This window comes from Homo sapiens, chromosome 5, assembly GCF_000001405.40.
Source record: "Homo sapiens chromosome 5, GRCh38.p14 Primary Assembly".
In the NCBI taxonomy this organism is placed as follows: Eukaryota; Metazoa; Chordata; class Mammalia; order Primates; family Hominidae; genus Homo; species Homo sapiens.
Window position 1 is genome coordinate 80032221 of NC_000005.10, and position 14022 is coordinate 80046242.

General features: G+C 42.9%; 1 protein-coding gene and 1 pseudogene across 7 annotated transcripts in view; one reads left to right on the forward strand and one right to left on the reverse strand.

The window, feature by feature from the left end:
* The window catches only part of THBS4 (thrombospondin 4), a 91956-nt gene that overhangs the window by 40889 nt on the left and 37045 nt on the right, over positions 1-14022 (forward strand). For 4 of the 7 annotated variants that reach the window (XR_007058633.1, NM_003248.6, XM_047417678.1 and 1 more), the window contains exons 1-2: positions 3128-3405; positions 7857-8060. Coding sequence is in view for 6 of the 7 variants with exons in the window: in NM_003248.6 (NP_003239.2) it covers positions 3318-3405; positions 7857-8060 (292 nt within the window). In the remaining variant the exon portion in view is untranslated. Of the gene's footprint in view, positions 1-3127; positions 3406-3802; positions 3958-7856; positions 8061-14022 lie in introns of those variants that run through there. The other 3 variants (NM_001306213.2, NM_001306212.2, NM_001306214.2) reach the window with 2 other exon arrangements.
* TRMT112P2 (tRNA methyltransferase subunit 11-2 pseudogene 2) lies at positions 951-1082 on the reverse strand (annotated as a pseudogene).

Genomic DNA, 14022 nt, shown 5'->3' on the forward strand with positions numbered 1-14022 from the left:
TGAGGACATAAAGTTTACTGAGACTCCCTAGCGAATGGCTGCATAAAAATGCAAGCCCTCTAAAAGCAAAACCAGATTGTAAATTCTGTTAGGCTAACAGAAAGTCATTTGATTCTTTTGTTTTTCCGTTACACTTAGTAGTCAACCAAAATTTATTGTGTGCCTATATGTGTGTATTAGTCAGAGTTCTCTAGAGGGACAGAACTAACAGGATAGATAGGAAGGGGAGTTTATTAAGGAGTATTGACGCACGATCACAAGATGAAGTCCCACAATAGGCCGTCTGCAAGCTGAGGAGCAAGGAAGCCAGACTGAGTCCCAACACCTCAAGTAGGGAAGCTGACAGTGCAACCTTTAGTCTGTGGCTGAAGGCCCAACAGCCCCTGGCAAATCACTAATGTAGGTCCAAGAGTCCAAAAGCTGAAGAACTTGGAGTCTAATGTTTGCGGGCAGGAAGCATCCAGCACAGAAAAAGATCAAGGCCAGAAGACGCAGCAAGTCTGCTCTTCCGTCTTCTCCTGCCTGCTTTATTCTAGCCATGCTGGCAGCTGATTAGATGGTGCCTACCCAGATTGAGGGTGGGTCCGCCTTTCCCAGTCCACTGACTCAGGTGTTAATCTCCTTTGGCAGCACCCTCACAGACACACACAGGAGCCATACTTTACATCCTTCAATCCAGTCAAGTTGACACTCAACATTAACCATCATGATGTGCAAGCTATTTTGCTGGGAATTTGCTAGGATCGAAAATTCCTAGTTTTTTTGTTGTTTGTTTGTTTTGGTTTTGAATCTTTAATGAGAAAAAATACTATTGTGCTCAAGAACACCGTGCGTCTGGTGTGTCATTGGGTCAAGGGTTGGGGACACACATGGCAGAATTCAGAAACAGGGTAACATCAACAAAAATACACACGGTCATAAAAAGAAAAACTGGCACCTGGCATGATCAACTCTGTTTCCTCATCATTCAGCAGCATGTTGGGGATCCTGCGGCTGATGGGGAACACACGTCCAGACTCTGGGCACTGCAGGGTGCCCTCCAACACATCTACCTCCAGCAGCACGTGGTGCATTGTCCTCACCATGGAGATTCCTAGCAAATACTCTAGGTATTTTAAATAGAAGAAATTTAATACAGGGAAATGATTACATATATAGTAGAAGAACTGAGATGTCAAACAGAAGAGTGAGGCAATCCACATTTTAGCAACTGCAGTAAGTGACCTCCAATGTCATGGCTGGAGGGTGCAAATGGTGAGAAGGCAGAAGCTAGAATCATGGTGGACCCCACCTGCAAGAGTCACAAAGAAGATGCATCCATTCAGGTCACAGAGAAGTAAATACTCTAGTGTCTACCTTCTACCTTCTTATTGCTCTCTAGTCTCCCATTTTATCTAGACTGCTGACAAGCATGCAGTGGAAGGTGAGCACCAGATCTGAGAGGAAACAGGCAGTGTCTGGTGGCACACTACACAAGAACTCTCACAGGCATCCACTAGGCTTGCTTGGTGACTCATTTAAGGAGTAACCCTATTTTATGTATCAGAGTAGTCTATGGTGTGATATAGCATATTGCTGCTTTTGATGTTTGGTTTCATTTGTTCCCTGTAGGCACCTAATCACTGTTTTTTAAATTCCCCAGGAGATTCTGGTATACCCAATCAGCTGAGAACCACTGAATAGTGGCTTTCAAAATTTTGAGCATCCAAATATTGTCTTCACAGAAAATCTTAATCTCTGAAGTCTACTGTAAAAACATAGAAAGGCAAGGCTGTTCTGCTTGAAGCGTAGCTTGGGAGCCTAGATTCCTCTCAAACCCAGGCCACTCCTGGGAACATGGTCTGGAGATTTGAATGTTCCCAAATCTAGTTTATCTCATTAGTCGATATTTATGCACATCCTCTGTGTCTCTCAGTGTTCTCTCATGTGTAGACATATGCCCCATTCCAAAGAGTGACTGTAGTGTAATGTGGCATTAAAGGAACCCTGGATAGACCTGTATTGGACCTTACATATTAGAGAGCTCTGCAGATAGCTCACAAATCTCCAAGTCGCTAGCTGTAAATTGAGTGATAATTGGTGTCAGGTTATTTTAGCACAGTTTGGGGATAAAATGGTGCATTAATCTCCCAGTTTGTGGCTTATTAAACTTTGAAATGGAATTATTTGAGACATAAAAGAGATAGCAATACTTTGCTGGATGTTCTCCATTAGTCGAGATTGTTACAGAGGAGAAATTTTTGCCACTGTTTATCAAATATTTTTTCCTCTAGTTAATCCATATCATTCCGGGAGCTTTGCCCAGGAAAAGGACGAATTACTTGCGTTCCTCCGATCTCTTTCAAGTTCTACTCCCGTACCTTTAAACTGTCACACGGAATCTTTGGTGACAGAGGAATAGAGGTGGGCAAGCAGGGCGTTTGGAAACCATACTGAAAACGAATTATCCATAAAGCACAGATTCACCAGCCTAGAAATGGCTCTGTCTGGATGGATTCCTTGAGATGTGTTTTATCTCCATTAAAAACACAACAACTTTCAAACTTTCACTGTGTCTCAAAATGATAGAGAAAAAAATTCAGCCTTTCAAGTATTCAAGAAAAGCTTGAAGAAATAAAAGAAACTCGCTGCTCTCTGGGCCACTTTAGGAGGCAGAGCGTTCCTGGAGAACTTCAGGATTCATTCGCAAGGGAACCCAAGGTGGGCATTCAAAGCCGATCCAAAGGATATTCTTCTTTTTAGAAAACAAAAGGAGCGCAAGGAGTAGGGGACTGAAGGTGCCCAAAGCTAGTGGGTCAGTGTCACTTTCTTCCTCCCTTTCGCCCCTTTCCTCCCGCTCCTTTCTCCCCTGTGGTCTCTGCTCAGCACCCCTTTCTCTCCAGCCCCGACTGCCCATCTTCGCCCCTACCCTCGCGCGTCGGGGCCGTGTCTACACCCACCCCAGGACCTGGTCCGTCCAGGCTCCTTCCCATCCTCACACCCGCGCCTTTCTCCCTGCGGCCCCGGCTCGCTGCTCCAGCTGCCCAGCTCTTCCCAGGACAGGGGATCCCGCCAAGGGGGCCGCCCCCGCCCCGGCCCTCCCCCGCCCGGCCGCACCATAAAGCGCCCGGCCGCTGCCGCGGAGCCCAGCAGCCAGCTCCCCAGCACCGCACGGCGGGGACGCGAGCGCGCCCCCGACGGCAGCCCGGACGCCGAGCACGGGTCACCTGCGGCGCCGGCCCGGGCGCCGACCGAGGTTCAACGCACGGCCCGGGGACCCCCAGGCGGGGCCAACGCCGCCGTCGCCCCCGGCCTCGCGGGGAGCAGGAAGAGCCAACATGCTGGCCCCGCGCGGAGCCGCCGTCCTCCTGCTGCACCTGGTCCTGCAGCGGTGGCTAGCGGCAGGCGCCCAGGCCACCCCCCAGGGTAAGTGGGTTCGGGTCGGGCCTGGGAGCGCCGGGCACCGGGTGCCCCATCTGCTGAGTGAGTGGAGGGACTTGCTCGGCCCTGTGCTCCTGTGGCCTTGCTCAGCCCCTCTCTGTCCCTCCCGGGCCCAATCAAAGCATATTGTGATTGGAGGTAGTGATTAGTCTAGAATTTTCCGAAATTCGATTATCCAATGATGAGAACAATTGCCTAAATAGTTGGGGGATGCAAAATTGTTTCAGACTATGCAAAGATGTGGGGTGGGGTTGCCTTCAAAACTTGCTACACGGTCCTAGACCTCTTAACATGTTAGGCTCTGGTGTAGGGTGAATTCCGGGTCCTGCACCCTGTGCCGGTTCCCTCCAGGCAGCCTTGCTCCCTAAATCCTTCCTCAGGCGGAGCGATGTATGCCCAGAGTCTGCTCTTGACATCCCTGAGAAAGACGCAGAATTACTCTACTTGCCCTGCCACCTGCATTTTCTGCTCTGACTTTGCTTGAACGACAAAAAGAAAGTTTATTTCAAGGATTGGCTTGATGTCTTAATTTCTGAGGTAAATAGGAAGGGCTGAGAAACTGGTCTTTTTCAATGAAATCAGTTCTTTGCAGCAAGATGGATGCAGCTGGAGGCCATTTTCCTAAGTGGATTAAGGCAGGAACAGAAAAGCAAATACCATGTTCTCACAAGCGGGAGCTAAGCAGTGGATAGATATGGACATAAAGATGGAAACAGTAGACACTGGGGACTCCAAAAGTAGGGGGGAAGGTTGGGAAAACTACCAATTGGGTACTACGTTCACTGGGTGATGTGTTCACTAGAAGCTCAAATCCCACCTTATGCAATGCACCCATGTAACAAACTTGCACATGTACCCTCTGAATCTATAATTTAAAAAGAAAAAAGAAAGAAATTGATCTTTTTCTATGAAACGGTAAAAATTCAACAAATAATGTGAAAAGATACTTGGACAATCCTCAAACCCCTTGGTGAAATGGGGTGAAATAGCCATTGGGTAGAAAGCAGTTAAACAGAATTTTTTGTAAAGACCAAAAGGAAGACATGATTTAAGCAAAGAAAGATCTTAGGGCTATAACTGGCCCTAACTGGTCAGGCGTGAGCTTCATCTGTTTGAACTTGGTGCCTGGGTTGATTTATTACTGACTGTGGAAGTAAAACTGGAAGAGACGCACAACTTGAAGTAAAAGTTGTTTTTCCTCTTGTAGCCAGAGCAAAGACTGCCTATGAGGGCGTTCTCAACTTCCCTGCCTCTCGCTGCTGGAATCACCCATTTAAACTGCATTTCGCCAAATAACTCATTTTCATTCCAGACCAGACAACCAGAACTGTGGTTTCAGGGGTTAGAGTACTGCTAACTTTTAGTTTGTGTTGAAGTATTTGAAATGCTGTAGTCCGTGCCCCATACTTCTAGGAAGGTAAAAAAGGAAGCTTTTAAACACTTCAAAAGTCTTATTGTGATGATATTTGGCAAGTTCAAATTTATAGGTATAATTTTTTTGTGTTATATACGTTCTTGACTTTTGAACATACAGCTTTATGGTGTGCCTTAGGTATGTCTCAGACATACCTGACCATTTTATGGAGATTTGAACTCGGCCTATACAACCTAAATTATCTGGGTAATTTAGTTGCTGTAGATGATCTGATTAAGTTAAGTTTCTGATAGATTCTTTTATTGCATTATCTAGTCTGCAATTATCAGGCTTAACAGGATAATTTGATTATCTCCTTCTTCCCCTGAGCTTCATTGTTGGTCTTAAATTAGTATATATTCAATTTACATACCATGGTAGCTGCGCTCATTGGTAGCAGTAATTTCACCTCTAACAGTAGAGGGTTGTGCTTTGATCCTGGCACTTAAACGTAATAACATTAATAGAAAATGGTAGTGTCTCATTTCCTTTTCAAAACACTCTCTATGTTCATTACTAACTAATCCCATCTCTGCCGCTTGAGAGAGATGCAAATGAATCAGACGAACCATAGATTGAAATACCGCAAGTTTAGCTTGAGTTACATCATGAACCTGATCATAGTCAAAGGAAGAATCAAGAGTACTAAGAATTTTGTTTTGAATGTAGTTCCCATACTTTAAATACATATCTCTTTTCTGAAGATGTTTTGTCCTGAATGGAACTTTAAAACATATTGCCTTATTTCCCTTTGCCCTCATTAGTGGAAATGTAAAGTTTCCAATTCTCTTGAAAATTAAAAAATCCAATTTCCCTTTTGAAATGCAGTAGGCAACAGTGTTTATGGTTTAGGGATATAGGCACTAAGAGGAGCACAGTAAATGTTCTGCTTTCCAACACATCTCATGTTAATTTCATTATTGTGTAAGGACCCCTGGTACATGTGAAAAATACAGTATAGATCCAGTTTGAAGACAAATTGTCTTTTAAAAGGGGTAAATATTCTTGAGTAACTAGGTTTTTGCCTGTTTGCTTTAGAACTTTTATTCATTCTTATTACAAAAGCAATACCTGCCCATTGTAGAAAAGATTAAAGTTAGATAAGCAAAAAATAAAATAAAAAGAAAAGAGGAAATTTAAAACTTATATTTATGCAACCCGGGGATAGCTTCTATTAACATTAACATGTTGTTGTATTGTCTTTCATTTCAAATATTTTTCTATGCAAAAATATATTTCAAATGGAATTACGTTATACATATAGTTTTAGAATCCTTTTTTCTTAATGTATCATGAACATCTTTTCACATCTGTAAGTATTCAGCTACATTTTAAAAATAGGTAGTATTCTGCTTTTTGGAAGAATCAAAATGTATTTAGCCAGGGTTGTAATATAGAACCCTTAAGTTGTTTTCGGTTTTGATATTGTAAATATTAATTTATTGAACAAGTGCAGGTGTCACAGGATGGTTTGGGATGAGTTTAACCATCCCCTCAATCTCAGCCAAGCCCTTCTCTTTTTTTTTGCTAAGGACAGTTAATGTTTTCATAGCAAAATGCTATGCCAACAGAGCTCAGGTTTACCTCTCTTCCAATTAGATTTTCACCTAATTCTTTCCTAAATAGAAATTCTAGAATTACCACTAGTGTCTAATATTCTTGTACCTAAATCATTTACCATGTTATCCATTATTTCCCTAGGATAAATTCCCATAAGCAGAATTGCTAGATCAAGGAGCACATATGTTTTAGGGCCTTTGATACTGTTGTTTAAACTGTCTTCAAAATGTTTATACTAGTTTAAATGTTACACAGTGGTACAGAGAGTGCCCATTTCCCTGAACCCTCACAAACAGTTGAGTACTGTTGTATTTACTAATTTTCCAATTCGATGGTGAAAACAATACGTTATTGTTTAAGTTAGCAACTCCTGCATCATTAGGTAAATACATGAACATTTATTTATATACTTAATGGTCATTGTAATTCTTTTTATGTAAATTGCCTTTTCATATTCCTTGCCCATTTTTCTATTAAGATGCTTATCATTTTATTGATTTGTAAGAACTCTTTATCAATTGTCAATATTACCCATTTAATAACCAGATTATTATATCCAAGAGACAGCTGTAGGTGCTGAAGTTTCTGCAGCCTATGGAATTGTTCAAATGATATTTGCGTCTGCTAATAGATATACTAAATAACTTCCACTGAGTATTACCCAAATTTGGCCTTTGCCTTTTAAATGACTCTGGGCATACTCTCTCATAGCTTTCATAAATATTACAAAGTTTGTGAGAGAAAGTACTGCTTGCTTGATCAAAAGCAACTTATACAAATACAAATGCAGATTCTGATTTTTGTAGAGCAATTCTATCAGTCAAGAGACAGAAACCACATCATTTTGTTTTGTTTTGTTTCCACATTGGGATTTTTTTAAACAGAGAAATGTTGGAGAATTGTAAAGGCACAAAGGGAACACTTAGGTCTCACAAAGGTGGCAAATCACTTTCTACCAGCACATCTACCACCATAGCCATGTTTTCTGCTGCATTTCCTGTCATTTGTCACTGACCAGGAAAACACAATTGGCTCTGGTCCTGGAGGTGCCTATGGGACTCCGTGACAGAAATTCACTGCTTGGGGACATCAGTAAAGCAATGGCTTGGATGCTTTCACCAGTCCCCCTTGTACTTTAAGCCTTTAGTGCTTTTCCTGGTGGGCATTTTCAGAGCTACTTGTTCAGCCAAACCCAATTATGTGTTTGCAAATTCAGTCCTCTCTCTTGAGGGCTACACCCAGTGATGAATATTGTGCTGTATTTCTTCTGGCTCAAATGTCCAGCCACTATAAAAGTGACAGGGAAGAACTGGTGAGTTTGGCAATACGGAAAAGGGATTACAAGATTAGTTTACATTACTTTGTAGCTTACTGTCAAATTGCACCCCCCCCAAACAAAGAAACCCTGTTTTCCCCAAAATTGAATCTTTCACTTATACCCCTTCTTCTCCCTTCTTCCCAGTCTTTGACCTTCTCCCATCTTCCAGTCAGAGGCTAAACCCAGGCGCTCTGCTGCCAGTCCTGACAGACCCCGCCCTGAATGATCTCTATGTGATTTCCACCTTCAAGCTGCAGACTAAAAGTTCAGCCACCATCTTCGGTCTTTACTCTTCAACTGACAACAGTAAATATTTTGAATTTACTGTGATGGGACGCTTAAACAAAGGTAAGCAAATTTGCTGAAATTATTTTCTTAAAAATCTCCTTTTTCTATTCCAGGATTAGGGGTATACTGTCTTTGAGATGGTTTCCTTGTACAATTATATTCTCACTCACTAGTCATTTCAGTTTTTAATACTGAATTCTTCTTACTGTACATTTACCTATATTGGCGGGGGGGTGGGGGGCGGTTCAGGAAGAAAGTGACATTGGGAGAAAAAAAGAATTGCTGTGACCAAGATGCTTTTTGACATTGTCTCATCCTGATGTTATTCTGAATCCAGTTCTGGAACAGAGAGGACAAGGGACAATTCAGCCATTATCTTAGGCAGCTCAGGCTGCTATAACAAAATACCATAGACTTTGTGGCTTAAACAATAGACATTTACATCTCACAGTTCTAGACAGTGGTAAGTCTAAGATCATGGTGCCATCTCAGTCCATTTTGTGTTGCTATAAAAGACTACCGGAGACTGGGTAATTTATAAAGAAAAGAGATTTATTTAGCTCACAGTCCTGCAGGCTGGAAGTTCAAGGGCATGGCCCTGGCTTCTGACAAGGACTTTCTTGTGTCACAACGTGGTGGAGAAGGTCAAAGAGGGAGCAGACACATGGGAAGAGGGGAAAACCTGAGGGGCACCGTAGCTTTATAATAACCCACTCTCTCAAGAACTAATTCATTCCCTTGAGAACTAATCCATTTTCACAAGAGCTGAAACTCACTGTCTCGAGAACAGCACCAAGCCATTCATGAGAGATCCAATCCCATAATTCATATGCCTCCCACAAGGCCCTACCTCCCAACACCGCCACATTGGGGACCAAATTTCAGCACGAGTTTTGACAGGGACAGACATACCATATCCAAACCATACCACCCGCAGATTTGGCTCCTTGTAAGGGCCCAGTTCCTGGATTGTAGATGGCCATCTTTTTATTGTGTCCTCACATGATGAAGACAGACAGCAAGCTCTCTTGTGTCTCTTCTTATAAAGTCACTATTCCCATCATGAGGGCCACACCCTCAGGACCTCATCTAAACCTAATCATCTCCCAAAAGCCCCACCTCCAAATACCATCACACTGGAGATTAGGAGTTCAGTATATGAATTTGATGGGGCGGGAGGAAGGGGACAGATACAAACATTCAGCCCATGACAGCCACCCCATACTATTCTTATGTTCCCTTTGAAGCCAGTGCTCAGTAGACCTAGCTCCTAACTCCTTAAGCACCTACCTGGCCGTGATGGAAAGAATATACCTCAACCAGTAGAACAGGATGAATAGGGCTCTTTTCTCCCTGTGCGTGCCAATTTACACAGGCCTGTCACTGGTTTGATCCCTCTGCTGTCATTTGTTTTGTTGCCGTAGTGAGTTACTATAAGCACTGAGAAGTGAGTCCCAAAGAAAATGGTCACTATTTTTCATTGCCTTCTCCTCCACTCCTTCCCCGGGGGACAACACCTGTTCCTGTTTATTAAGGAATGTGACAGATGCGTGTTCCTGCTGCTTCATGCATTTAATAAAATAGGAGGGCTGGTTCTTCTGGCTGGGTTTTATGTTTATTTCAGTTTGCTTTACAAAGTGGACACTTCCTAGTGCTTCAAACTCTCTCTTAGATTATATTTGTGATTGTACACTTAAATCTGCAGGCATTAGGAAATGAAAGAAGTTTCTAATTCTTAACTTTCATAGGACTCTAAAGTTAAAAGTATAAATGAATGGGACTTTAACCCCTTCTTTTCTGTCAGATTCCAACATGCTTCTTGCCTGCTTCCACGCTACTCCCAAGTCTGCTTTCTCTGTATGTGCCTCATAGCCTGTCAGGGGCCTTGAGGAGGTGTCAGATAATAAAGTGAGTCTGAGGACATGGCCAGCAGATGGGTCAACCGTTCCTGTCCCCCTTTCCCCATCTTCAGCCCTAATGAGGGGGGATTCTGCCCATGTCTCTGCCTTGAATCAAACAGCCCCATTTTGCCTAGCATCTGCTGAAGGAACTGCTCATCTTCTGACAACCCAGCTACTCAGTTTGTGATCGTAAAAATCACCGTTCTTCATCTGTGGATCAGCAGCTTCTCCTAACCTGTCTATTTCAGAGGCATTGCAAAGATTTTTCTTTCGGTTCATCCAGCTTAATGGCCAGAAGTTCCTCTGCAGAGTAAAAAACTGCTCCAAGCTTTTGCCCTCACTGCCTCTCACCCTCTATTTCTAAATTGGCCAGTATGTGTGAGCCCATTGTGGAAAGTCTGTTGCTGGGAAACACAAGGAAGCAACTTCCCCTGAACGGATCCTTTCAGTTTGTATAGACAAGAGTAACACTGGATTTAATGGGCAGTAGGTAGAGGGTAAGGGGATCGTTAGTATGTTTCCTCTGAAGAATCACCAGTAATATGAGTCAGCTGTAAATACCAGTTGATCAAATATTTTAGGGGCTGTAATCCCAGCACTTTGGGAGGCTGAGGCAGGCAGATCACCTGAGGTCAGGAGTTCGAGAACAGCATGGCCAACATGGAGAAACCCCATCTCTACTAAAAATACAAAAATTAGCCAGGCATGGCAGTATGTGCCTATAGTCACAGCTACTCGGGAGGCTGAGGCAGGAGAATCACTTGAACCCAGGAGGCAGAGGTTGCAGTGAGCTGAGATTGTGCCGCTGCACTCCACACTTCAGCCTGGGTGACAGAGCGAGACTCTGTCTCAAAAGAAAAAAAAAATTAGAGGAAAAGATGAAAGGGTTGAGATGAAGAACTGAAAGATGAACATCTCCCTACCCTCCAACCTATTAGGAAAGATAAATTGTTCTTAGAAACTGTGGGGGCAGAAGGAGTCCTGGAAGAATCTAGAAATGAGAATTCTCATAAGGCAAAGAGGGATTTATGCTGTTATTAGAGCTTGAAGAGTTGAAGAATGACACAGAGAAGTTGTTTCACTGGAGCAGTCGGAAAAAATACGAAGATTTGCCAGCACTGGTGAATATAAAAGTTTCAGGAAAGAGAAGTCCATTCTGACTGGAACAATAAAAAGAAGTCACTGGGTCCATCAGATCCAAGGAAAAGACAGAGCCTGTGGTTGAGACTCCCCACTGCAGTGTTCAGTGGTGGCCATGCTGACTTGACATAATTCTCCCCACAACCCTCCACAAATTATCTACCTGGACATGGTAGGCTCCAGACAGCATTCATCTGGCCAAGGTTCAGCTGATCTCCTCTTTTGCTGATTTGCGTGGAAAACGGTGAAACAGAAGAAATCCAAGTGGATCTCTACTGACTTAAAACACCTGAGTAGGAAATAAAACACACCCTTCCCTCCATTAAAGTCCAGGACTGGGAGATGAAGGAGGGTGACTACACAGCATCAAAGAGCAGAATTTGGTCATCTGGGCCTCATATGACCTCCTGAAACAAATTAAAATGTAGCTAATGAAGACTGCAAAGAAAGAGTTTGCCACTGAGCTCTCTGCTTCTACTCTCACCCTCTCCAAGTCAGCCTACCCCAGGCCACCTCATTACTGTTCACAAACATAATTTGGATCAAGATACATCTGACCTCTGAGACCTCTAGTGGCCCCCTTTCCAAATTGAATAATGTACCCATGTCTCAGCAAGGCATTCGGGGCTTCCACTCTGCATGGCCCCAAGCAGCCTTTCCAGTTTATCCCTCATTCCAGCCTCCATGCAGCCTGAGCTTCACCAAGATAGGCTATTGCCATTCCTTGGGGCCGCACATGCTGCCTCTCCTCCATCCTTTTGTTCCTGCTGTCTGCTCCCTCGACACATATCCTGCATCACCTCTTGACACCCAAATCCTACACATTCAAGACCCATCTCCAGCTCCTTCTGATATTCTTTCTAATATGACTTTGTACCTCTTAAGGAAGACATTCATCTTAGCTCACCTTGTACTTGAATTACTTCTAGGTCTTCTCTCCATTTGGTTGGGAGCTCTCTTGAGACAGGGACTATACAGCCCTTATCTTTGCATCTGCTGCAGCACCTAGCAAGGTGCCTTGTACATAGAAGTAGTTCATGGATAGATTGAAAAGAATAAATGGAGGCTGAGAAGAGTAGACTTGTTTGTGAAAAATGACATACACCATTGTGAAATTCTGGGATTCCACAATATCTGACACATAGTAGGTAATAAAAAAAAAATTATTTATTTATTTATGAGACAGAGTCTTACTCTGTCACCCAGGCTGGAGTGCAGTCGCTAGATATCGGCTCACTGCAGCCTCTGCCTCCTAGGTTCGACTGACTCTCCTGCCTCAGCCTCCCGAGTAGCTGGAACTACATGTGCGCACCACTACGCCCAGCTAATTTTTCTATTTTTTTAGTAGAGATGGGGTTTTGCCATATTGGCCAGGCTGGTCTCGAACTCCTGGCCTCAAGTGATCCTCCTGTCTCGGCCTCCTAAATTGCTGGGCTTACAGGTCTGAGCCACCACACTCAGCCAAAAAAAGATTTTTTTTTTTAATGAATAAATATTGAAGGGCTTTTGGAATAGGATGTAAGAGGATACAGGTAGTATTTCTGGTAGAAGTGATCTGCCAGGTTATGAGTAATACAGCCTTTAAATCTTGATAGAAATAAGCATCCTGCAGAAACCACCTGGCTGGATAGAAGATATGGCTGATGCTCTTCTAGTATCTGGCGTAAAGACAACTTTCCAGTTTGTATCCTGAGTTTGAGTCACAAACTGCATCACCATGAATACATCTCTGAATCTCTCTTAGCCCTTGTTGATTGCCTATAAAATGGGGATAATAATAGCTACCTCACAGGCTGGTTGCAAGAACTGAATTATATAAGGTATAATAACTTTCTTCAGACTATGAGGCTTAATAAAATTTTCATACTCTTAAACAGTATTAGAGACAGATTTCCACTATTTAGGCAACTGTTTTCTAATGATGATGGTTTGGTGAACTCTTGGCTTGCCTTGATGACAATTTCACCTTTCAGAAAAAGAAACACAAGAACTGCTTCTTTAGTCTTAGTATGATTGTCTCAGAACAACTTGGTGCTGTGAAGTGAAGGAAACCCAAAGTGTTTGCTGTAATGACCAGAGAGTGTCAGTGAAACTCCTTAGCCTAAGGATAGGACATGTCAAATAGTTCAGAGTAGTGGTTCTGTAGCTTGCAAGCTAAAGAGAAATATAGATTAAGAGAGATGGTAGAGCTTAAAAAATAAAATTATAGACACAATAATAAGTGGAAAAAATGAGGGGCCTCAAACATTAATAATAATATTTATGGAGTCTTTTTTTTTTTTTTTTGAGACGGAGTTTTGCTCTTGTTGCCCAGGTTGGAGTGCAATGGCGCGATCTTGGCTCACTGCAACCTCCGCCTCCCGGGTTCAAGTGATTCTCCTGCCTCAGCCTCCCAATTAGCTGGGATTATAGGCATGCGCCACCAGACCCAGCTAATTTTTGTATTTTTAGTAGAGACAGGGTTTCTCCATGTTGGTCAGGCTGATCTCAAACTCGCGACCTCAGATGATCTGCCTGCTTCGGCCTCCCAAAGTGCTGGGATTACAGCCGTGAGCAACCATGCCCGGCCCTATGGAGTCTTTTTAATGTACCAGGACTGTGTTAAAAGCTCAAAGCCTATTTCCCCTTTTAACTTTCACAATATTCCTATGACATGCCCTTGAATTAGCTTAATTTTAAAGTGGTCATGTGCAGAAGATGGAAAGAATTTTAAAATTTGACACAAAACTATAATAATTAGGACAAAAAAGCTAAAACCTAATTGAGTCAAAGTTGGTGATTCACACATAAGATAATAAAATGGATGTTTTTAGCCATGTTCAGAATAAGATATGGAAGATATGGAAGAAATAAGCCTACCTCCTGGAATAGGTAATGGGAGATTAACAGGTGATAGAGGTAAGTCATAGATGGCTCTTTTGTTTCTGTCTTACCCATCAAGGGGAGTGTTCTTCAAATTGTCAAGAACAGTTAAAAGAAAA